The sequence below is a fragment of the Homo sapiens genome, chromosome 1, assembly GCF_000001405.40.
Source record: "Homo sapiens chromosome 1, GRCh38.p14 Primary Assembly".
In the NCBI taxonomy this organism is placed as follows: domain Eukaryota; kingdom Metazoa; phylum Chordata; class Mammalia; order Primates; family Hominidae; genus Homo; species Homo sapiens.
This window is the reverse complement of record NC_000001.11, coordinates 59892066-59917509: the sequence shown is the minus strand read 5'-3', so window position 1 is coordinate 59917509 and position 25444 is coordinate 59892066. Positions and strand designations below refer to the sequence as shown.

The window sequence follows — 25444 nt, the reverse complement described above, 5'->3', positions numbered from 1 at the left end:
CCTGGGAAATTCCCTGCACCACTCAATAGCTTTGTCACCTTTGCTGTGTTGTTTCAGCTATAATTCATTTTCTGTCTTGAAAGATAAGAACTATTACTACTGTAAGGTGGTTGTGAGATTAATGAGATAAAATATGAAAGGTGCTTAGCAATGGCTGCCTATGACCATGAGTGCCTTCTTCCCACACACCAGTGGGTTCCTGTCCCCTTTGCCACCATAAGAATGCATCCACGGCCCTCTGCACACAGAGCTCTTTCATTCCTCGGAGACTCGCTGGGTGGCTGTGCGCCTGGAACAAGAAAACAAAGTGCCTTTCACATTGCTGCTCTCATTCTTCCTCACAGAACCTTAAGAGAGAGGAATAATTTTCTCCCTTTTATAGCTGGGGAGTTGAGGCTCAAAAAATAAAGCAACTTCCGCAAGAGCCGAAAACGATTGAACTATACAGCCCAGATTGTCACATAACTCCAGAGCTCGAGGGCTTTCCTCCATGCCTGGCACCTGCCCTAAAATGCACCTCGTATTATCTAGCATACGTTTCTATTATCTATGCCCAGTCTAGGAAGGGGGCATTCTCATTTGGTTAAACAGATAGTTATGATTTACTAAGAAGTCCATACTTGGTACACCAGATTAACACTAATCATGTCTCAGCCTTCTTAAGTGGCTGAGACATGATTAGTGTTCAGGTGAGAATTCAGATGTGCTGAATTCTCTCTATTCACTAGACTCTAGGATGCTTGGGGTTAGAAATCTTGTTTACTATGTCTATATATTGAGACAGGCTTTCACTCTGTCACCCAAGTTGGAGTGCCATGGCACGATCATGGCTCATTGCAGGCTCAAACTCTCAGGCTCAAGTGACCTTCCCACCTCAGCCTCCTGAGTAGCTGGGTCCACAGGCATGTACCACCATACCCAGCTAATTTTTATTTTTTTGTAAAGACAGGGTCTCACTATGTTGCCCAGACTGGTCTCGAACTCCTTGGCTCAAGCAATTTGCCTACCTCGGCCCCCCAACGTGTTGGGATTACAGGCGTAAGCCACTGCACATGGCCAGAACTTATTTATTTTATTACAGTTTTATCCTCATGCCTTGCTCTAGGGACACATGATAGATGCTCACTCAGTTCATGTTGGTTGAATACATAAATAGATATTTATAAAGAAACATTCACATTCTGAAGTGAATTGAATCTGAGCCTTGTTGAGAGAAGGAGAAAAGGAAATAAAAGCATTCCCATGAGACCAATGTACACTCACTCACACACACACACACACACACGTACACACACAGACACAGACACACGCACTCCTCTCAATATGATCCCCTCCAGCTACACACATCCTCCATTTCTGAACACATGGACATGTGCATATTCAACTGTTACGATTTAACTATTTTTCAGTTTGTGAAGAAATATGGGAACCTTTTTAGCTTGGAGCTTGGTGACATATCTGCAGTTCTTATTACTGGCTTGCCCTTAATCAAAGAAGCCCTTATCCACATGGACCAAAACTTTGGGAACCGCCCCGTGACCCCTATGCGAGAACATATCTTTAAGAAAAATGGTAAGTTTCTTGGCCAACGAAAGGTGAGTGTTTGATGTTGATAGTCCTATAATCTGTTAAAGGCACCTTGGTGACTGTAATTTTCCAACACTCCTAGAAACCAGCCCCATAATAAACTTCCTGCCACTAAAGAAAGCTGGATATTCACATTTCCTGATTGAAGTCACTCCCTGAGAAGATTTGATAAGATCATCCCTCACTGGGATTTGGGAGAAACCACATGCCCTGCCCAAACCTACTCTGGATGCTTTTATAATGAAGTAACCATGTTACCCATTTATAGCAGAGGAACGTGTTCTCTCTGTTTTCCTCTTCCAACCCTCTCTCCTTAGGAAAATGGATGTGGATCTTCCTCCTCCTGCTGCTGCTTCTTCCTGTCTCTATTTCCTTATTCTCTTTCATTAAGGTTGTGTCACACAGAGGATCTTGAGCCTTCTGGTCTATGATAGAACAGATTGGCATGAACAGATTGGCATGAACACTTAAAATTACCATTAAATATAATGAAACATTTAAAAATTGAAATGAAAATCTCAAATCTATTATTCTATTAAATCACCACTTTTAGGTATGAAGGGGGCCAGCCCTTCCACACCTATGGGTATTTCTCCTCAAGTGGGACAAGAGACTGAGAAAAGAAATAAGACACAGAGACAAAGTATAGAGAAAGAAAAGTGGGCCCAGGGGACTGGCGCTCAGCATACCAAGGACCTGCACTGGCACCGGTCTCTGACTTCCCTCAGTATTTATTAATTACTATTTTCAGTATCTCAGCAGGAGGAATGCGGCAGGAGAGCAGAGTGATAGTGGGGAGAAGGTCAGCAAGAAAACATGTGAGCAAAGGAATCTGTGTCACAAATAAGTTCAAGGGAAGGTACTATGCCTGGACATGCACGTAGGCCAGATTTATGCTTTTCTCCACCCAAACATCCCAGTAGAGTAAAGAGTAACAGAGCAGCGTTGCTGCCAACATGTCTCACCTCCTGCCATAGGGTGGTTTTTCTCCTATCTCAGCATTGAACAAATGTACAATCGGGTTTTATACCGAAACATTCCATTCCCAAGAGTAGGCAGGAGACAGTGGCCTTCCTCTATCTCAACTGCAAGAGGCTTTCCTCTTTTATTAATCCTCCCCAGCACAGACCCTTCACGGGTGTCAGGCTGGGGGTCGGTCAGGTCTTTCTCATCCCATGAGGCCATATTTCAGACTATCACATGGGGAGAAACCTTGGACAATACCCGGCTTCCAGGGGAGAGGTCCCTGCAGCTTTTCACAGTGCATTGCGCCCCTGGTTTATCAAGACTAGAGAATGGCAATGATTTTACCAAGAATACTGCTTGTAAACATTTTGTTAACAAGGCACATCCTGCACAGCCCTAGATCCCTTAAACATTGATTCCATACAACATATGTTTTTGTGAGCTCAAAGTTGGGGCAAAGAGATTGGGGCAAAGAGGTTGGGGAAAAGTTACAAATTAACAGCATCTCAGGGCAAAGTGATTGTTCAGGGTACAGGTCAAAATGGAATTTCTTATGTCTTCCCTTTCTACATAGACACAGTAACAGTCTGATCTCTCTTTCTTTACCCTACAAGGTGCTTTTCAATTCTTAGAAATATTTCATCAGTTAATTCTATATCCATTCACTGTATTATCTGCCTTGTGAAGCATGGTACTAGGCATGAGTGATGGAACAGTCAGAAGAATAGATAAAATCCATATCCTATGTAGTTTATATTCTATGCAGAAAGAAAAATAGTATCAGTTAACTATAATAGAAGCCTACAGTGTTATGAAGTCAAGTTCAGGATGTACTTATTAATGCAGTCCTGGGATGCAGAAAAAGTAAATAAATATTCATTTAATAAACTGGTGAAACAATCTGGCAGACAGAATAGAAAATGAAAAGCCCCTGAAATGAAAAGGACAGGGAACTTGAAGAAATGAAAGGTGGCCAACATGACAAGCATGGGGATTAAAAGGAGATAATTAAAGGGAGATGAAGCTACTGAGCTTGGCTAGGAATAGTTCATGCAGGTTCCTGTTAAGGACACTAGTTGTTATCCTAACATTAATGGAAGCTCTTGAATGGCTTTAAGTAGAGAAGGGAATTATATTTACACTGTATATTTTTAGGTTTTATTTAGGCTGCCATTCAGAGAATAGAAGAAAAGGAGCAAGGGACTTTTGTAGCATTTTAGGTTACAGACAGTGGTAGCTCAGGCTAGGAAGGTCCAATAGCAGTAGGGAAATAACAGTAGGTTAGTCCAAGATAGTAGCAGTGAAGACCTGGATTTGAGATATCCAGGAAGGTACACCTCTTAAGACATGATGATGTAGGTGCAGGGAGAAGGAGGTGTTGAGGTGACACTCAAATGGGTAGATGATGGAAAGAAGGAACACTTAGAAGAGTATAAGGTATTTGGTTTAGTTGGGCATGGGTGAAAAGTCATATGGAGAAAACTGTGAGTTCAATCATGGATATGCCGAATTCAAAATACCTTTAAGTCAGCAAAGTGAGGCAGGCAGCGTTGTATATATGCTTCTGGAGCTCAGGGACAGAAATAGATGGTCACTATCAATAGATGTTATTTAAAATTTTAGGAGTTGATAAGATTTCCCAGAAATAGAGTATAGGGTGAGAAAAAGAAGAGGTTTTAGATGAAGAAGAAGTTCCTGAAGAACTCCACCATTTCAAGATTTAATAGAAGATGAACCAGCAAAATATATAGGAAGTTGCTGGCAGAGAATTAGGACGAAAATCTGGAGACAGTGGTATCCTGAGCACCACTGGAAGGCAGTATTTCAAGAAAGAAGTGTCTACTGCTGCTGCAAGTAAGACGAGGTCAAAAGGTATCCGGACCAATTCAGTGGGTGAGCAGGCCATAGTCAGATATTAAAAGGTGTTGAGGAGTGCTCTGGAATTGAAGAAATTGAAAGGAGTATGGCATTACCTGTGTTATAAAACAAATGATGGTCTGTCAAACACACCAAAATTTTTTTTTCTTTGCTTGTACTCTTCTTTCTGTATGGAACTTTCACTCCTCCTTGATCTCTTGATTCCTTACATCATCTTTTAATGTCCAGGTTAGATAGGACCTCTCCTATAAAGCCTTTCTTAGCCTTAGCCTCTTTAAGAGTATGGGCATTGTCTTAACCATTAGTGCATTCCTAGTGTTTAGCATAACATAAATACTTAACTTTACTTATGTAACTAATAATCAAAGCATGGGCTTTGGAATAAGGCAGACCTGAAATTGAATACCTGTTTAGTTGCTTACTTACTGTGAGACCCTGTAAAATGCATTTTATCCTTTATCCCTTGTTCCTCAGTTTTTTCATTAGTAAAATGTGTGGGGTGGTAATAATTGTACCTATCCCAGAGAGTTTCTATGAGTACTAAATTATATAATGCACAACAAAATGCATATTAAAGTGCCTGCCATTGCAAGCAATCAGTAAATATTAGCCATTATATCCATTGCTTTGGGATTATTTCTCTGGGCAGTTTTCAAGTGCCTTAATGATCTTCTCCTGTCCTTCATCTGATACACATTCCCATATCATTTGCTGGATATTCATATTATGGAATCAGAATACTGTAATGTTGACTTTCTTTTTCCCAGGATTGATTATGTCAAGTGGCCAGGCATGGAAGGAGCAAAGAAGGTTCACTCTGACAGCACTAAGGAACTTTGGTTTAGGAAAGAAGAGCTTAGAGGAACGCATTCAGGAGGAGGCCCAACACCTCACTGAAGCAATAAAAGAGGAGAACGGTGAGCATTGCATATGACAGAGGTGAGAGACTGTGGCCCATTTGTTCATTGGACAGATACTTACTAAGTGAGTAAGTGCTTGTTCTATGCCCAGCACTGTGCTAGGAATGGAAGATAGAACAGTGAACAACTCTGTCCTCAAAGAGTTTTAGAAGTAAATACACAAAGATGGGCACTAAACACATTACTGAATTTAAGCCCTGGTCCGCAGTTTGACTTCCCTGGAGTTGACTGAATACTTGTTGTATGTCAGATGCAGTGTAAGGTCATGTGGCCAGCTCCTCATATATGGTTCTGCACTAGGTATGTCTTATGCCATGTAAAGTAGACTCTCAGTAGGAAATGGAGACAAATCCATCAGAAGGATCCATCTTGCCCTTCCTCCACCTTCAGGACAGCCTTTTGACCCTCATTTCAAGATCAACAATGCAGTTTCCAATATCATTTGCTCCATCACCTTCGGAGAACGCTTTGAGTACCAGGATAGTTGGTTTCAGCAGCTGCTGAAGTTACTAGATGAAGTCACATACTTGGAGGCTTCAAAGACATGCCAGGTAAGGCAGCTGTCTCTCCATATCTTTGTTCAGTAAATTGGGGCCGATGTCAGCCACAGATGGGTTTTTCCTTTTAGTTTTTTTTGGGTTTTTGAAGTTAAAATATAACCTTTCAAAACTAATTTCAACACAAACTTATTTGAAATAAATCTATTGACTTTAGTTTTTTAACTAATATGGAATATTTATATGCAAAAACCATTTCTAACATGCATGTAAAGTACAACATGTTATATGACATACGCCTATCCACCTATGTTGTTCTTTTTAAAAAGAAAAACAATATTGCTGTTGCCCTTGAGTCTCTCCTCTCTGTGTCCTTCCCCAACTCGTCCATTTCCCTCCTCCCTCAGAGGTTCTCTTCTGTATCCTCTTTCTTCCTCAGCAAGTTGCTTTGAGAGTCATCTGTGCTGGTTGCTCTTTTTTAATGCAGATTAGTATTTCATTGTATGAATGTGCCACTTTTTGTCAATCTGTTCTGTACTGACGGACATTTGTTTCCAAGTTTTGGATGCTATGAATAAAGCTGCCATGAACATTCTTGTACAAGTGTTCTTGTGGTTACATCCACTCATATTTTTTATATCTGTATCTGGAGATAAAAGAAGTTTAAAGATTGCCAAGCTCATTGCATTATTTGCCTGCCCACCAGCACTTAATATCATCAATCTTCTAATTCCATAGAGTGTAGCCGTTTGGAGTTCAAACTCACTTCTCCCTTGGTGGGCCCTGCACCACAATTTTTGTCCCTCTAAGCCTTTGAGTCTTTGTCAAAAACTCTGCTCGGTTTCTTGGTTCCTCAGACACTTTTTGGAATTTGGAAGACATTTCTGGGAGCTGGGGGGAGGGGGGAGAAGTTGACCCCAAGTATTGAGTTCATACCCTGGGCTTTCTTCTTCCCCTAAGCCTTATCCTGGAAACTACCTCACTACCTTGATTTGTATGTATGTGTGCTTAAATGTTTACACATGTATCTTTTTCATCTTTTCTTGGTGTTCTCAGTAGAAAGAGTGCCCTTGAATTACACAGTATGCCATTATCAAAATTTTTAAAAATTTCCTTGGTTTAAGAAAATGACTTTATTTTTGAAAATTACAAATGTGTATAAAAGAATACAATCATGAATCACTGTGTATACTCATCAGTGAGCTCTAACAATTATCAACACATGGCCATTTTCACTGTATCTGCATCTATGCCCTACTACCACATTCCCACTGTCCCTGAATTATTTTGGAGCAAATTACAGACCTCAATTATTTGATACATAAATATTTCAGCATATATTTCTAAAAAGACCCATTTTAACAAAAATAAAATACCATTGTGCCTGAAAAATATGAACAATAGTTATTTAATGCCTTCAAACACTCAACCAGTGCTCAGATGTCCCCAGATGTCTCATAAGTATTTTTTTTTGGTGGCAAGCTGTTGCGGTGGTGAGAAATGGTCCAAGGCTGGATATATTTTTGACAGAGAGCTGAACTGTTTTGCTAGAGAGGTGAGAGAGAAAAGAGGGGTCAAGGATAACCAAGGTTTAAGTGTGAGCAAATAAAAGAGACGGAAAGAGAAGATGGTTTCTGTTGTCTTAAAAAGAAAAAAATGGCACCATGTTATCTGCATGATTGTTTTGTTTTTCTCAATTAGCTCTACAATGTCTTTCCATGGATAATGAAATTCCTGCCTGGACCCCACCAAACTCTCTTCAGCAACTGGAAAAAACTGAAATTGTTTGTTTCTCATATGATTGACAAACACAGAAAGGATTGGAATCCTGCAGAAACAAGAGACTTTATTGATGCTTACCTTAAAGAAATGTCAAAGGTGAGAAAACCAAAGTCATTTTGTATTTTGTTCTTAGAGCACAAATAGAGGTATATTAGTTTCCAACTGCTGCTGTAAAATATGATCACAAACTTGGTGCCTAAAATAGCACAGATTGATTCTCTCACAGTTCTAGATATCAGAAGTATGAAATCAGCTTCACTGGGTTACAGATAAGGTTTTGGCTAGGCTGGATCTCTTTGGAGGTGCTGGAGGAGAATCTGTTTCTATTACTTTCCCAGCTTCTAGGAGCCGCCTATGTCCCTTGGCCTGTGGTCCCCTCCTTCATCTTCAAAGCCAGAAGCACAGCATCTTCTCTTCTCTCTGGTATCTGCTTCCATCCTGACATACTTTCTCTCTGACTTTGACCCTCTTATTTACCTCTAATAAAGACTATTATGATAACACTGGGCCCACTGGAATGTTCCAGGATAATCTGCCCATCTCAAAATCCTTAACCACATCTGCAAAGTTCCTTTTTCCCTATAAAGTAACATCCCTAGGTTCCAGACATTAGGATGTGAATGGATATCTTTGCGGGTCATTACTCAGCCTGCTACAGGAGTAAAAATAGGGGCAATATTTCAGAAAATGTAGGGTAGCATTAACTCAGGATTGATGATGCAATTAGAGATAAAGACAAGGGTTAATAGCATTTGGTTTGAGGTCCTGTGAATGCCCAAATACAGCCCTTTCATCCCCCATCCCCTACCCTTTACTGTTATTTGGAGGTATACACAAAGGGGGAACATAGCAGTTAATCCTCAAAGCTCTGTTCTATCATTAGTTGGGCCTAGACCCAATGACCTACCATTTTCGCAGCCCTCATAGAGAACACAAGTAAAGCTGAGTTGGATGCCAGAGTTTAAAGGCCAACTTTATTAAGGCCTGAGTTGGACTTTGCCTTCCCTTCTGTTTTGTACCTTTCACTTTCCAACATTATAGGCCAGAGGTGAGGAAGAAACCAAATGGGATGCGTGACCTTTAACACAGTTACCCCTCTGGTTAACACATATCACTGCATCAATACTGTCATCTTTACACATCAGGAATTGGGTCCTACTTCTGGAGTGGAAAGAATGGTGGATTTCTTTCCCTCTTATTTCACCTTATTGGTATGACATTTATAGAAGTATTGTTTTCTCCTCAGAGGAGGAGACTCGCTATATGTTGTGCAGGTAAGGAAGGGATCATTAACATTAAGAGCAACATTGGACAAATTGAAGTTTCCAGAAGATGATGGTAAAGATGACAGAGTATCATGAGGAATGGTTGGTAGAATCAGTGAGTTTCAAATTGGAAAGAAAAAGGTGAATGAAGAGATATGAGAATTGTTGTTCATAAGAGAAATTCCATTTGCCTTTTCTGTTATCAGTACAAATGTTTGTTGAGTATTTGCTCTGCGTCCTTGCATTCATATAATTCATAATGCCCTCTTAAGAGGTGTGCACTCCTATTTCCAGTATATAAAACAGGAAACTGAAGAACAGAGAGGTTAAGTGACTTGCCCTAGGTCACACAGCTGCTAATTGAAGTGGTTAATATTGGAAGCCAAATCTGTCTCGTTCACATCCCATTCTCCTTTCACTGTACTAAAAGCTTCCCCAAAATTATAGGCATAAGAAAATAATTGTCTTGATTTTCATCCATCCAAAGGTGTCCAGCACTTGGGGCAGGACAATGCTAATGATATTGCTGTAATAAGAGTCTGCCTTCTGAAGAGGCCAAAGGGAAAATTGTTTCTTTTGGGGACCTTTTCTTCCAAATGTCCTCCTAGGATGAAGCCCCTTTGTGTTACGGCAATCAGGAATCCTCTGAATAAACCAATAAATAACATCAAACATTGTGTTTTCTAGCACACAGGCAATCCTACTTCAAGTTTCCATGAAGAAAACCTCATCTGCAGCACCCTGGACCTCTTCTTTGCCGGAACCGAGACAACTTCCACAACTCTGCGATGGGCTCTGCTTTATATGGCCCTCTACCCAGAAATCCAAGGTGAGCATGTCAGTGAGTAAGCCTGAACCAGGACAGAATAGTGCCTCCTGGGATGTGCTGCCTGAAGTCGGGGCCAGAAGATAGCATTGTAGGATGAAAAGAGAGGCAGAACAGTCATGAGTGATGAGGACTTGGAAACTGCACATTCTTCATATTTTCTGTCTGAATTGTGATGGGCCCAGGTAATACAAATGTAAGAGAGAATCCTTGTCCTCAAGAAGCTCAGAGGCAAGAGGGAAATCAACGAAGTCAGTCGACATTGAGATAGTTCCAGGAAACAGTTAACTTTCTGATGTGAAAGTCTAGTTGTGTCCTTCCCTTCTTTTAAGTGATGCCTTCCAATTTCCTCCAGAATAATGTTCAAGCACTTTAGTCTGGTATATGTTAACCTCCGATATGCCCCTTCTGCCTGTCTAGCCTTGGCCGCACCTACCCTCCATGGTGGCCTCACTAAGTGACACGTCACTTTCTTTGCAGTCTATATTTATGCCTCTATGTCGTGATAGATGCTTTTCCCTCTACTTGCCCAGTTTTCCTACATAGTAAACTCCTAGCTCTTCTTGAAGAATCTGTTCAAGTACTACCTCTCTAAGATGTTTCTGTGCTCCCCTAGGAAATTATTAGCATTTTCTCCCTCCAGAGATGATGTAATGTGCCTTTATTACTAGGCTTATCATGTATTATCTATATATAGCTTCCCCACAGACTATAGTCCACTCAAGAATGATGTTCTCATTATTTTTCTTCCTCCAGCTTCCAGAAAAGTTTGAACATATGGGGGTGGGAACTCTTAACAATACAGTTTTTCAAATTGTGGGTAACTGTTTATTAATGAGGCATAAAATCAATTTAGTGAATCAAGACCAACATTTTTTTCTTAAGATAAAAATAGAAAAGATCAGAGTGCTTCCCATGTACTAAGGTAAGTTTGTTTACAGAACTTTATTTTTTTCATCTGTAGTTGCATAATGTATGCTTTATATGTATATTTAGGTATATGCATCCAGGTTCATGCTCAGTTAAAAAGGCTAGTAACAAACAGATAAGCACTGTATGATTCCACTTACATGAGTTATCAAGAATAGTGAAATTCCTAGAGACACAAAGTAGAATGGTGGTGGCCAGAGGCTGAGGGAGGGGATATAGAGCCTCAGTTCTGCAAGATGAAAAAGTTCTGGAGAGTGATTGCCTAACAATGTGAATATATTTAATACTACTGAACTGTTCATTTAAAAATGCTAACATAGTAAATTTTATGTTATGGGTATTTTACCCCCAAATAAGATGTTTTACAAAAATGATAATTTATTTCGCTTTCAGGTAAAAAAAAAAAAATCCAAACTAGGCTTTGCAAAGCCATTAGGGTTCCCAGCTCCTTCCAACTTGTTGCTCTGTTGTGATTAGAATGATGCCCTTGTTAGCACTCTGTAAGACGGCTCACCAATAGGCTTTCCACCAGTAGGAAGCAAAAGGGGGAAGGAAGTGCATATCCTTTCTTTAGGAACCTGTTCCAAGGATTAAACATCACTTCTGCTTACATTCTATTAGCCAGAATTGAGTAATATGGTCACACTTAGTTACAATAGGACCTGGAAAATATATTCTTTTTTCTCGCTCTGTCACCCAGGCTGGAGTGCAGTGGCACCATCTCGGCTCACTGCAAGCTCTGCCTCCTGGGTTCATGCCATTCTCCTGCCTCAGCCTCCCGAGTAGCTGGGACTACAGGCGCCCGCCACCACGCCCGGCTAATTTTTTGTATTTTTAGTAGAGATGGGATTTCACCGTGTTAGCCAGGATGGTCTCGATCTCCTGACCTCGTGATCCGCCTGCGTTGGCCTCCCAAAGTGCTGGGATTACAAGCGTGAGGAAAATATATTCTTTAGCTGGGCAGTCAGGTCTCCAGCTAAAATCTCTATTACTCTAGAGAAAGAGAAAAGAGATAAGGCTGCTACAGTTTCTCTCTTTGGCTAGGTGAGCACTCAACCAATGAAAGAAACTGGGAGCAGTCCTATCTGGTCACACAAATCTCAAAACATCAGTTCATGTGAATGTCAAAACATCCTTAAGATGAAGGTAGATTTATCCTCACTAATCAAATAAGGAACTGAGGTTTAAAGAGTGTAAGTAACTTGCAGCATCAATGTTGTAGAGCAAGAGTTTGCAACCTGATGGGTCTTACCTCAGGGCCCACTTTCCACTCTTACATATCTACCTGAGAAATTAGAGTCTGTAGATCTGCTATGGGTTGAATACTTGGGCCCACCCCAGCCCAAATTTATATGTTGAAACCTTATTACCAGTGTGATGATATTAGGAGGTGGGGCCTTTGGGAGGTAATTAGCCTTCAGGAATGGGAGTAGTACTGTTATAAAAGAGACTCCAGAGAGCTGCCTCACTCCTTCTACTATGTAAGGACACACTGAGAAAGTGCCATTTGTATACCAGAAAGTGGGTCTTCACCAGACACCAAGTCCGCTGGGGTCTGATGTAATGAAGTTTAGCCATATTAATCCTGGTCATTCCATCCCATAGCCTAACCAGGCTCAAGGAGATTTACAGAGGTGGTAGTTTTCTGAATAAGCCTTTCAAAAGGTTAAGAACCATTTTATTTCTTGCAACCTGGTCACTAATTGAAATACAACAGATGACATCTTGGAGACCACTCATACCTCTTTATAATAAAGCATAAAAGTTTAAAAAATAATAGAACCCTTCCCTCTTTACCAGAAAAAGTACAAGCTGAGATTGACAGAGTGATTGGCCAGGGGCAGCAGCCGAGCACAGCCGCCCGGGAGTCCATGCCCTACACCAATGCTGTCATCCATGAGGTGCAGAGAATGGGCAACATCATCCCCCTGAACGTTCCCAGGGAAGTGACAGTTGATACCACTTTGGCTGGGTACCACCTGCCCAAGGTAATTAAGCAGATCTTCAAGCCCATCTTTTAGGGGGGTAGAAACTTGAACTTGAGAAGTGACATTTATTCTTGTCCTAAGGAATCATTTAAATGGAAGAAAAAGATATCTTATACCTGATATAATACTAGATTTTCTCCATGTGTAGTCTTCAACTAGATAAATAGGTATTGTGGGGAGGGGAGCAGGAAGGATTCCTACGTTAAATATGTTTAGATAAAGACTGGCTTTTCTTTCCTGTGGGGCCTCTCAGTGTTTTTACTATGCTAATGTGCATTGTGAGTCTGTGGGCACGTGGCAGGCAGCAGTTCTAGGTCAGACTTTATCACAGAACACTTTTCTTTGTTTTGGTAGAACATCTCACCAGACTAGGGATCTGCCAAACTTTGGGAAATTCTGCTTCATGAACCTGGGGTTCTAGAATGCTAAAATGTGAAAGGACATTTAAGACCACCTGGGACAACATCATATTAATGCTGGTGTTTTTAACATAATATCCCCACAGGTATTTTTCCAGTTATTTCTTATAGTCCCGTGATGTATAATTTATTAATTAATGTATGTATTTATTTATTTGAGATGGAGTCTCGCTCTGTTGCTTCCAAGTAGCTGGGACTACAAGCATGCGCCACTATGCCCAGCTAATTTTTGTATTTTTAGTAGAGACGGGGTTTCACCATGTTGGTTGGCCAGGATGGTCTGGATCTCTTGACCTCGTGATCCACCCACCTCGGCCTCCCAAAGTGCTGGGATTACAGGTGTGAGCCACTGCTTCTGACAGATGTATAATTTATTATCTTATAAGGAAGCCAATCTAAGCGTGTGCAATATTCATTATTGGGAAGGGAAAGAAAGGAGTGAACATGTATTAAGCAATGATTATGGGTTGTGGACAATGTGGTCTCTTTCAAAATGTCTTATTCAATTCTCAGAGTAAGTTTACTCAGAAGAAGCTTGTTATTTCCATGTTATGGATTGCGAAGTCAAGGCTCAGAAAAATTAGGTTTGCATGAGATCTCTCAACTATGAAGAGTTGGGATCTGGAAGCAGATCTGTTCTGTTTCTTTGTGAGACACCATGCTCCCTTCACAGGACTTGCTTTACATTGATTTTAAAGGCATCTCCCTATTATTTTTTCAATTGGTCTAAGTTAAATTCCCTGTACTCACAAGTGGAACTCTTTCTTTTTCTTTCAACTTTTGTTTTAGATTCAGGGAGTACATGTGTAGGCTCGTTACAAGGGTATATTGCACGATGCTGAAGTTTGGAGTATGATTGAACCATTACCCAGGTGACTGGCATAGTATCCAATTAGTAGTTTTTCAACCCTTGCCCCACTCTCTCCTCCAGTAATCCCCAGTGTCTATTGTTCCTATCTTTATGTCGATGTCTATCCGATGTTTACCTCCCATTATAAGTAAGAACATGCAGTATTTCATTTTCTGTTTCTGCGACAAACAGAATTCTGATGTCACTCCATTCGCCACTCTTAGGATCTCTGCAGACAACTATCCTGTGCCCTCTAGTGCCCTCTCCCCACATTGCACATTTTCAGTTCCTTTCCTTGCTTTCTAACCACTTTGGTCAGCCTCCGTGGATCGATTCCAGTCTGTCTAAGTACCTCTGAGTGTGTCATACCTGGGGAAAATCTCGAGAAGTAGAATCAGAAGAGCTTACCCATTGGGCACTACTTGGTTACTATCCCTGCAGAGCCAGGAAAAGCAGCTGTTACATTTACTATTTCCTTACTGATTGACCATTTAGTGGATAAAGGCTGAGGTCTAAATTCCCCAGGTGCTGTTTGCATTTTTCTAGCAATTTATTTAACTCAAGGAAACCAGCTTGACTTCTGCTGCTGCTGATTTTTGTCAGCTTTAAAAATCATCTTGGGAACTGACAAGTTGAAATAATTGTGTGTTACACAGTCTACGAGCTATGACTTTGACGTCAAATAGACCTAATTCAAATCATGGCTCTGCCTCCTCCCACTCTCTGACTCTGGGCCCATTATTTTACCTCTCAAAGCTTCAATTTCTTCATCTGAAAAATGCATTTAAACCTACTTAACAAGATCCACATGGAGGTAAAATGAGATCATGCATGTAGGGCATTTAACCCAGTACTTAGTACAGAAAGTGCTTAAAATAGCAATTATTGGCCGGGCATGGTGGCTCACACCCGTAATCTCAGCACTTTGGGAGGCTGAGGCGGGTGGATCACCTGAGGTCAGGAGTTCGAGATCAGCCTGGCCAACATGGTGAAAACCGTCTCTACTAAAAATATAAAAACTAGCCAGGCGTGGTGGTGGGCACCTGTAATCCTAGCTACTTGGGAGGCTGAGGCAGGAGAATTGCTTGAACCCAGGAGATGGAGGTTGCAGTGAGCCGACACACTGCACTCCAGCCTCAGTGACAGAGTGAGAGTCTGTATTAAAAAAAAAAGTTATTACTAATATTGGCAATCATTGATATTAATTCCTTGAAGTAATATTATATTAATATGTTAATATTTGAATGAATTCAACAAACACTACATACCTGAAATGCTCAGGTCTGGCAAAACAACCCTGAGAAAAGTAATCATGCAAGTACATATTTAGAAACGTGATAACTGCCCAAAGGAAAAAACTCACTGTGGTCTGTAAAAACAGACTAGCAGGAGTGGTCAGGGAAGGCTTCCAAAAGGAAGTGATGTTTGAGCTGAGGATTAGCTTCAAGAGTTAGCTTGATGACAAAGTGGGGAGGAGGAACATTCCTGGCAAGGCAAATAGCATTTAAAAAGGATGCTGAATTAAGTAGGAAAATGGCATGTTTGAGAAACTGAAAGAAGAGCCCTGTAGTGGGAGTGCAGGCAGAGGGGGAGAGTAGTGCAGACCAGGACCAGGTGAAGAGTCTTTGCCCTGAGAGCAATGGGTAACTATTGAAGTGTGTCAAGTCCTAGGTATGAGCAGTGGGGGCTGTGGAGGTGGGGAATGACATGACTAAATCATGCTAGAAGCTCACTCTCTTCCAGAGTGTGAAGCAGATTGAAAGGGGTGACAGGATTTGGGGCACAGTTAGGAAACTATAACAGTGGTCCAGGCAAGCCAGGAAGAAGTCTGGACTAAGTGAGCATTGGTGGACATGGAATGGAGGTGAAAGTAAAATTGACCAGTCTCACTGATGGGTTGGATAACGACAGAGTAAAGGAAAAGCTCCCTCTGGGAACTCCTGTGTTTCTTAGCATGTACCTGGATGGACAGGGGCTCCTTGCATGGGTCTACCTGATTCTATTACTAAACCTACCATGGGGAGTGGGGTGCCATGTACTAGACATTGGAGGAAAGAGAATGGTGAAACCAAGATGAATGAGATGTCTTTTACCTTTGTAGAGCTGCCATCGTTATAGCTTCACTGAGCAGCTGGGCTGGTTTTGGTACAGTGCAGACTGACTGTTGGATTATTCTCTCATCAGTGCATTCATGCCCCCTCCTTCCAAGCCCTACTGAAACTGACCTGTCCCTGTAAGGAAGCTCGATCCTGCAGTCAAGAGTAGCCAGACATCCTTGTTAAAATTCCCAGCAGGGAAATCCAATCTAATTTGAAAGCTGTCCCAGACAAAGAGAAGGGTCCTGGGTTGGGGGACACAGGAGACTGTGTACCACAATTGGGGAGGGTGGGGCAGTATGTTCAGGCCCCCGGCAAGGAAGCCGGAGGATGACCACCCCTCTGCATAGGTGTGCTTTTTCATGGGTCAAGCCTTGCCTGAGTCTCTGCTGCTTTCTCTAGGGTACCATGATCCTGACCAATTTGACGGCGCTGCACAGGGACCCCACAGAGTGGGCCACCCCTGACACATTCAATCCGGACCATTTTCTGGAGAATGGACAGTTTAAGAAAAGGGAAGCCTTTATGCCTTTCTCAATAGGTAAGTTGTAGTAAACAGGTGTGTGGGAGTCCAGGGCCCCTCTCCCAGCCCTCCCCTGCTCTCTCCTGTTTTCCCTTGTTTTCATTGGAATGTCTCCAGACAGCCTGGCCAGTGCGACTCACTCCATCTTGCTGTAGGGGGCAGCCCTGGGATTTCCAAGGCTGGGCATTGCTTCAGCCTGCCCTTACTTCCTAAGCCCTCCATTCATTGCCTCTGCTAGAGATTTCAGCTTTCCTGTGTTCTGTCCTCTGGAAAACTGGTGACAGAGATCCAGACTCCACCACCAGCTCACAAAGAGGATTAGGTGCTTCCATTTTTTTTCTTTTTTTGATACGAAGTTTCACTCTTATTGCACAAGGCTGGAATGCAATGCCATGATCTCAGCTCACTGCAACCTCCACCTCCCAGGTTCAAGCGATTCTCCTGCCTCAGCCTCCCTAGTAGCTGGGATTACAGGCATGCACCACCATGCCAGGCTAATTTTTTGTATGTTTAGTAGAGACGAGGTTTCACCATGTTGGCCAGGCTGGTCTCGAACTCCTGACCTCAGGTGATCCACCCGCCTCGGCCTCCCAAAGCCAAAGTGCTGGGATACAGGTGTGAGCCACCACACCCGGTCGGGTGCTGCCATCCTTACTAAATGTTAAAATGTCCTCAGTTCTTTTTAAGGGCTGCCCACTCACACAGAAATAGAGCTGATTTATAATGAGATAGAGAGGGACAAGGGGAAGGAGAAACTTATTTGCCACATGGGCATCAGTCAGTGGCTTAACTTGATTGGATTCTACTCTCTAAGTACTCCCTTGAAAAGGTTCTTTGGCCTTTGTAAATTTTAATTCATTTTTTAAAATCTAATTAATACATTTATATAATATGTAACTTGAAAATTAAGAAAGAAGAGGCAGTGAAAACTCTCTTTTTTTCTCTTGTTTTTAAGATAGCCAGGTCCAAAAATATATTTTTAACTCACGACATTGAACAATCAATAACAAAACTTCTTAATATGTTCCAGGTTTTGAGTTAGATATGTTGCATAGATTATTTCAAATAATTTCACAATTCTTTAATTCCATCAATATTTATTGAGCATCTATTATGTGTCAAGCATTCAGCCCTGGTGATATGACAATGAATGAGTGAAACAGAAACCAAAACAAAACAAAACTGCTCCCATGGTGCATATGTTCTAGTGTAATCATATAAAGTTTATATTACTATAACCACTTTAGTGATGAGGAAACTGAGGCTTAACCAAGTATAGAAACTAAAGTCATAAAACTCATCTGGCAGAGGTAGGATCAATGTCAACCAGATTAATCAAAAACTAAAGTGGGTGTTCTTGCTAACACTATCTACTGAAAATAACTAAATACTACACAGACCCACACTGTGGAATGCACGATAGTTTGCTTATTGTTAATTTAAAATATGTATTGATGTTCCGAGACAAGATCATTTTGCTGAGAATGACACTGAGGCTCAGAAAGGGCAGAAACGGAATGACCCATGTTGGTGTGACTCCAAAGCCCATGCTCTCCCCCTGTGCTGTGTTGCCTTAGGTGTCTCTGGGCTGATTCTGATGATCGATGCTGTCTTTGTCTTTCTTCATCTAATTCTGTCACCTCCGCTCACACTGGACAATTCACTTAGAATATGAAAGCTGATATAAGACATAGGACTATCTTCCAGTCTTCCTGTCTACAAGAGTTTGAAATTTTGTATTATAGCACAAAGTTTCGGCTGTTATGTTCCAGTTATTATAATTAATTATTCCTGTTCTTTGGCTCTTGCACAACATCCATGTGGAAATGCTAGAAATGTGACCTCTGCATTCCACAAAAAATGCTTCACCTAATGCCAGCTGCAACCGTGATGAGAGGAATCTTATTAGAAGTCCGTGGTTTTAAAAGGAAAAGGGATCCTCTGGGCTAAGTGATGCCTGGATACCTTTTCTTCACATCACAGAAGCCTCTTTCTCATAGTTCCTTCATGTCTCCTGTTTTAAAAAAATTATCTTATCTGAATTAGCAGTAGTCTTTTTAAAAACTATACATGGTGACTCACTGCTGCTTTGCTATTGAGAGGTGTATTGCACCCTCTTAGAGACTTCATTTGCAAGAAAATTGTCTAATTTAATCATTACAACAGCCCAGTTATTAATAGTTAGGCAGGAAATGGATAGGTATCTCCTTTTAATTTAAGATAACTAAAAATAAGAGAGAGTTCTTTCTTATCCAAGATCATATGCTCAAGGAATTTGCAGAACTGGTCCTAAGACTCAAGATTTTATACTTCTAGTCTAGTGTTCTCTCTAGTACGACTAGAATGTAGCTTACTTCCCCATTTAAAGGCCTAAGATTCACTAATTTCATAACATATGCATCAGTTAGCATATTGCTACATAACAAACAGTCCAAAACTCTGCAGCTTAAAACAGTAAGCATGAATTATTGCTCACAAGTCTATAAGTCAGATATGTGGCTGTGCCCATCTTGGCTCGGCCCCCTGGATATCTCTGATCTTGGCCAGTGGTCAACAGGCTGATGGCTGATATAGGATATCTTCACCTGGGACAGTGGGGCCCTTCTCACATTATCCCTCATCCTCCAGCAAGCTGTCCTGGCTTAGTCACATGGTGGTGATAAGGTCAAAAGAGGGAGAATGGAAGCACACAGGCCTCTTAAGGTCCAGACTGGGAACTGACACACCATCACTTCCATTGCATTATGTTTTCCAACACCAATCATAAGGCCAGCCCCAGTTTAAGGGGAGGGGATATTACTACAATTTTTGATGGGAAGAGCTATGACATCGCATTGCAAATGATGTGGATCCAAGGAGAGGGGAAAATTGAGGCTGCTTTGTTCTTACCATCTCTCTTTCTGACTGAGAAGAATGAAATTCATAGAAGGCAAAAAATTTATCTGGGATGTCCCAAAGCAGATGTGATAGGATGAGGACCATTTAAATGGATCAGGAGATAGAAATCTGAAGAATCCAAAGGGTTGACAAAACATCAACACAACTGTCTGTTTTTTTCATCACATGCCCATCTTTTGGCATGCAGTTGCTTTTCCTTGCTGTTCCTTTACTCTTGGTAAAGAGTCTTCTAGAGGACTCTTCCGAAGTCCTCACTTTAGAAGATGTAACAGCTTCTAAAGTGTGCATAATCAAGACAGGTTTCAAAGTTTTTATTGCAAATTTATATTTACTTTTCCTCATTTAAATTCTTCCTGTTTGATCCATCAAAGCAGCAAGCAGCTTTATGAAATACATGAGCCCAGTTCCTCTCTTTCCAGTTAAAATCATTAGATTCTAGGAGATAGGGCTGGAAAGAACTTTGCCAAAATTGTAAGTCAGTTCTCTCATTTTACTACTGAGGTAACTGGCCTGGTTGGTTAGTGATAGTCAGTTTGTGGAAGCACCAGGGAGGGGAGCCAAGTATCCTTTCTTCCAGGCCAAAGCTTTGACACCTAACAGTCCTAGTTTCCATGCTTTTAAAAGCAAATTCATATCTGCCATTGCATTGGGATCCTTGCCTAGCCGTGTAACATGGTTAGGAGAGAAGTTATTTCATGTATGTGACAAATGAGATAAGTTTAGTTTTGCGAGAATGAATGGTTTATTAATAGTCACACAGTTGGTTACTGATGAAGCCAGTTCTTTAACCCTGGTTCCTGACTTGCTAGGTCCAGTTTGTCATGATATATGGATTCTTTTAGGATAATCTTGGGTATTTACAATAAACTGACTTGGTATCATTTTAGCATGTTGCTAATTGTACTATTTGTGATGGATAAAGAGATAAAGGTGAGGGGAACCGAGATGAATTAGACACACACTGTTGGGAAAACAGGCACAAATAATATAACGACATAACCATGAAGCATGTTTGCCTTTACTAAGCATTTTTGCATATATGATCTAACTTTATTTCCTTAACAACCTGTTACAGACAAAGGACAAAACTTAGGCATGCATACATTTCCACGAATATTAAATTACATGGGAAAATATAAAGCAGTAAAAGCAGCAAATAGAATTGACTATAGGGAATAATATCTGTTATGATGTACAGATAATCTCCACAAGGACAATGAGGAAATATGTTAAAATGTTGACAATGGTTTTGTCTAGATTATGGGATTACAAACATTTTATGGTTTTGTCTTTATAACTTTCTTTTTCATGCTTTTTAAAATTATTGCTGTGAATAGGTACTACTTAGGGAGAAAGTAAGCTACTAAAAATACACACAATAGAGATGGTGGTAGTGACTTGTGTGGGGTAATGTAGCCCAGGTGGGGTGAGGAGGACATTCACATAGGGGAGGGGGTGGTGGAAGCTGAGTGCTGGCCTCAGAGCACAAATGGTATGAGGTGGAGTCTGCACAGGGTGGCTGTGGCAGTGATGAGAGGTAAGTTATATACAAGGGATACTGATCCAATAAGTAAATATATTGAGGATAATGAGAGGAAGTTGCAAATAAAGAAAGGGAGAAAATCGAACTTTGTGATGTTGGATTGGAATCTGATGTAATCTACAATGAACTCAGATTTTCAATAGGTGAATCAATAAATGTAGAAATGTAGATGTAAATATGGGTATATATATTTGGTGTATATATATATATATACTTGGTGTGTATATATATATATATTTTATATATGTACACACACACACTTTTGGACATATACCCACATTATATACATACATATATTTCTTAGCTCTGCCCACTGATATAAGCTAGGGGCAACAACATCTGGAGAGCAATGAGCATGCCTAATGCCCAGATCTTGATTTCTACATATTATTATCCACTAAAAGAAACCAGGACTTTTGGAAAAAAATGGCTGATTCCAGGGCTGGGGAAGGGAAAGTATTATAAACCTGGAATAGATTGTTGTGCCCAAAGTCAGGAAATATCAGCTTGATTGGGCATCTAATGGTCAAATCTGGAATATTTTGAGCATCAGAACAAGTAATGATAGTAACAGATTATAACCCTTTGAATAAAAACAGGAATCCCATGCATTTAACTGATATCAATAAATGAGTGAATAAATAAATGGGGAGGGGAGCAAGCATTTCCCTTAGTAAAGTGTTAACTAATAAATGTGGAAGAAATGACAGAATTTTAAAAATCGCGATTTGGTAGCCATCAGCAATTAATAATATGGTCAAGAGATATACCTAATGCTAGATGACGAGTTAGTGGGTGCAGCGCACCAGCATGGCACATGTATACATATGTAACTAACCTGCACATTGTGCACATGTACCCTAAAACTTAAAGTATAATAATAATAAATAAAAATAAAAATAAATCAAAAAAATATATATGGTCAAGAAATAGCAATGGAAAAGAATGGATCACAGCTTAATGAGAATGGTTTGTTGACATAGTCTCAAAGTACTTATTAGTTACAGAGAAAAAGAATAATTTTACAAGAGAACTTGGTAGACACCACCTTAATCAAGTGATTACCAATAATGTAACACATCACAATTGTATAGCACTTGATAGTATAAAATGAGAAGAATACAGTATCACTTTGGTGATATTCCTACCCAAAATGGAAAACTCCACAGCCTGAATCCAATCATGAGGAAGCATGAGAGGCATTTACAAAACAACTGGTCTGTAATCTTTAAAAAGGCCAAAGCCGTGAAAGTTGTATAAAGAGTGAGGACTTATTCCAGACTGAAGAACTAAGGCGACATGACAGCTAAATGCAATCCATGATCATGTACTGGCTGTACTGGACCCTTTTCTAATGAAGGACTTTGGGACAACTGGTAACCCTGAATGGGACCTCGGGAAGATGTTGGTCATGCATCAGTGTTAATTTCCTGGCTTGGATGGTTGCATTTTGACTATGTTGGAGAATGTCTTTCTTTTTAGAAAATACATACTGAAGATTTCATGGGTAATGTAGACAATTTACTTCCAAACAACTTAGAAGAGCCAAGTTCTTTGTCTATCTCTGCAAGTTTTTTGTACATTTGAAATTATTTCAGAATAAAAGGCTTGTTATGGAAAGTATCACAGTAAAGAATTGTAATATACAGAAAGCTGTTTGAGTAATGCTACCACCCAAAAGATTTTCTTTAGAGGTCATCTTTTAAATTGTATTCTCCTGTTTTTTGAGAATTAACCAGATCAAGTTAATAATAAGCAATTGTACAGTTATGTTTATTATTACCTAGGTGACATTTTAAAATACTTTGTTTTGAGGTATAAATTATTAAATTATTTAGCTTATTTGGATTCAGCATGTAGCTCACACAATATATAAAGTTCTCATCTTAAACACATATTCGTTTTCACTAATATGCACAATGTACATTTTCACTGATTCCTAGAGAGGTTGTTTAATTTGCCCCAATCACGTGGTTAGGAGGTGGGAGAAGCTGAATTGAATCTCTGCCCTTCTGCCTTCAGTTCACCCACACATAACAGGGAGTGGGACAAGGTCAGGGCAATGCTAGGTGTCAGCTGTGGAGACCAGGACCCAGCCTTGGGCCACACTTCAGAAGAAATGCCTGCAAAGGGAAAGGGCCACTGTGCATAAGAAGAACCACTGAAGGAGGAAGGCCAAAGCAGTCGCAATACAGAGGGCCACCCATGCCAGTAGGTCCCCCATGATTAAGGAGGAAAAGTGGCACAGGGAAAAGATGACTTATACCTTAGGAACTCTGCTCTGACATTTATTTCCTTATATTTTCAACAATTTTTTTAAGGATTAAAAAAGTGAACATATTTGGTTGTTTTTGTTGTCTTTTTTTGTCACGTTTGTTAAATGATTTTTTTAAAGCTCTTAGGCTAAACATCCCCTTTCTAGCTCAGCCCACGCCTTCCGCTTCTATGGTCCTACACCCTGCAACTTCATTCTGGAAGCTCGCCTGCCGGACCCCTGATGGCATTTGACTTCGTGTTCCTGGACTTCTGCTTTCTATGCATTGATGAACCCAAGTGGTTATCAGACTTAAATAAGCTGCTGGCCATAACACCCTGGGGCCTACAGGCCCTTCCTCTGCTCCATTTTTTTGGGGATATGATTGAGGATAGCAATCTCTGCTAGGCACAAATGCCACCTGAGAAGATAACCCGTCTTTTGATTTTGTCTTACAGGAAAGCGGGCATGCCTCGGAGAACAGTTGGCCAGGACTGAGCTGTTTATTTTCTTCACTTCCCTTATGCAAAAATTTACCTTCAGGCCCCCAAACAATGAGAAGCTGAGCCTGAAGTTTAGAATGGGTATCACCATTTCCCCAGTCAGTCACCGCCTCTGCGCTGTTCCTCAGGTGTAATATTGTTAAGAAAGAAAGGGGCAAGGAAAGTAAGAAGACATGGCACGTGTTCTGAAACCACTGGTGTCTGCTCAGATGTGTTGGGACAAAATGAAAGTGACTTTCAAGAAAGATCAGAGGAATTTGACTCAGAGAAAACTAGATCCAAATCCCAGCTCTACTGTCTCGTCCGAATTAGCCTTGGGAAAATCATTTATATGCTAAATAATTTACCTTTTTATCTAGGAGATGAAAAGAGGATAATGTTTCCTTCCATAAAGAAAGTTCTTGTAAGAATCAAAAGAAATGGTGAGCTTTAAGTGGTTTGTAAACCATAAAACACATCATAAAAGTTCTATCTATAGTGTGCCTCCTTCCTGCTTCCTTTGTGAGATATGTGTTTGCTTCTGACCTGTTGAGAAGCTCAAGTCAAAGTGGTGCAAAATAGTTGATAAGAGTTAAAAGTGGGCCCTAGGAGCAGCCACAGAAGTGAGCTATGAAGACTCCCCAGTTTGGTAGCACTGTGCATGCGTTATCTTGTTTCTGTCTCAGACTGATCCTCTGAGAAGTCAGCAGGGCAGGTTTTATTCCTCATTTAGAGACAGGGAAAGCAGGTGTCATTGAAACAGTTTCTGTAGTTTACATAAGCACACACCTAAGGCCAAGTGGAATGTGACCACAATTAACCAACCTGGGAAACAGGTTTCAGGAACAAATGTGGAAATATTTTTCATCCTTAACAATACCTTCTTGCCTTTAATCCTCCATCAGACACTTATTCCCATGTTGTTTCACACTGGCTTTAACGATGGTGGGTGTGATCTTTTCTTGCAACTAGACTGTAAGCTTTTTGTGGCTATTACCAGCCTAAACTCCCTGGGCCCTGTTTTTTGTTTTTTTTTTTTGTTTTTTTGTTTTTTTTTTTTGAGGTAGTGTCTTGCTCCGTTGCCCAGGCTGGAGTGCAGTGGTGTGATCCACTTCCTGGGTTCCAGTGATTCACCTGCCTCAGCTTCCCTAGTAGCTGGGATTATAGGCACATGCCACCATACCTCGCTAATTTTTGTATTTTTAGTAGAGATGGGGTTTCACCATTTTGGCCAGGCTGGTCTAGAACTCCAGACTCAGGTGATCCACCCACCTCGGCCTCCATAAGTGCTGGGATTACAGGCATGAGCCACTGTGCCTGGCCGACCTTGGTATTTTATAGCAGGAAAACAGAAATGCCAAAATCCTGCTCACTCACTCTAGGTGTGGCTGCTGAAGGAAGATAAGGATTATGAAATAGAAGGCCAGGTAACACTGATAGTACACGAAGTTTTGACCCCAATACCAATGCAAACAAATGAACTCCCAGGGAACCTGGGCTAAGCCTTATAAAAAGATCCTTTTTCCTAAGGTGGTGTCTTAGTCTGTTTTCTGTTGCTGTAATAGAATACCTGAGACTGGGTATTTATAAAGAAAAGGAGTTTATTTGTCTCACATTTCTGTAGGCTGGGATGTCCAAGGGCATGGTGGCAGCTTCTGGTGAGGGCTTCCATACTGTGTCATCACATGGCAGAAAAGCAGAAGGACAAGCAGGTGCATGCAAAAGACAGAAAGCAGGAGG

The 25444-nt window shown here is 40.8% G+C and overlaps 1 protein-coding gene across 5 annotated transcripts in view, besides 1 other annotated feature; it reads left to right on the top strand.

Annotated features, from left to right (window-relative positions):
* Positions 1-24202, top strand: part of CYP2J2 (cytochrome P450 family 2 subfamily J member 2) — a 75905-nt gene extending 51703 nt beyond the window's left edge. For 3 of the 5 annotated variants that reach the window (XM_047447499.1, NM_000775.4, XM_047447498.1), the window contains 8 exons: positions 1410-1572; positions 5199-5348; positions 5742-5902; positions 7550-7726; positions 9583-9724; positions 12452-12639; positions 16407-16545; positions 23681-24202. In XM_047447499.1, the coding sequence (XP_047303455.1) occupies positions 1509-1572; positions 5199-5348; positions 5742-5902; positions 7550-7726; positions 9583-9724; positions 12452-12639; positions 16407-16545; positions 23681-23859 (1200 nt within the window). In that variant the 5' untranslated portion in view covers positions 1410-1508 and the 3' untranslated portion in view covers positions 23860-24202. Of the gene's footprint in view, positions 1-1409; positions 1573-5198; positions 5349-5741; positions 5903-7549; positions 7727-9582; positions 9725-12451; positions 12640-12993; positions 13145-16406; positions 16546-23680 lie in introns of all 5 variants that reach the window. The other 2 variants (NR_134982.2, NR_134981.2) reach the window with 2 other exon arrangements.
* Positions 1446-2645: an enhancer, noted in NCBI's record as "MED14-independent group 3 enhancer chr1:60380537-60381736 (GRCh37/hg19 assembly coordinates)". NCBI's record gives its function as "activates an origin of replication core promoter dependent on BRD2, BRD4, P300/CBP and CDK7 cofactors, and independent of MED14, by STARR-seq in HCT116 cells {active_cell/tissue: HCT116}" and the evidence as "EXISTENCE:reporter gene assay evidence [ECO:0000049][PMID:35650434]".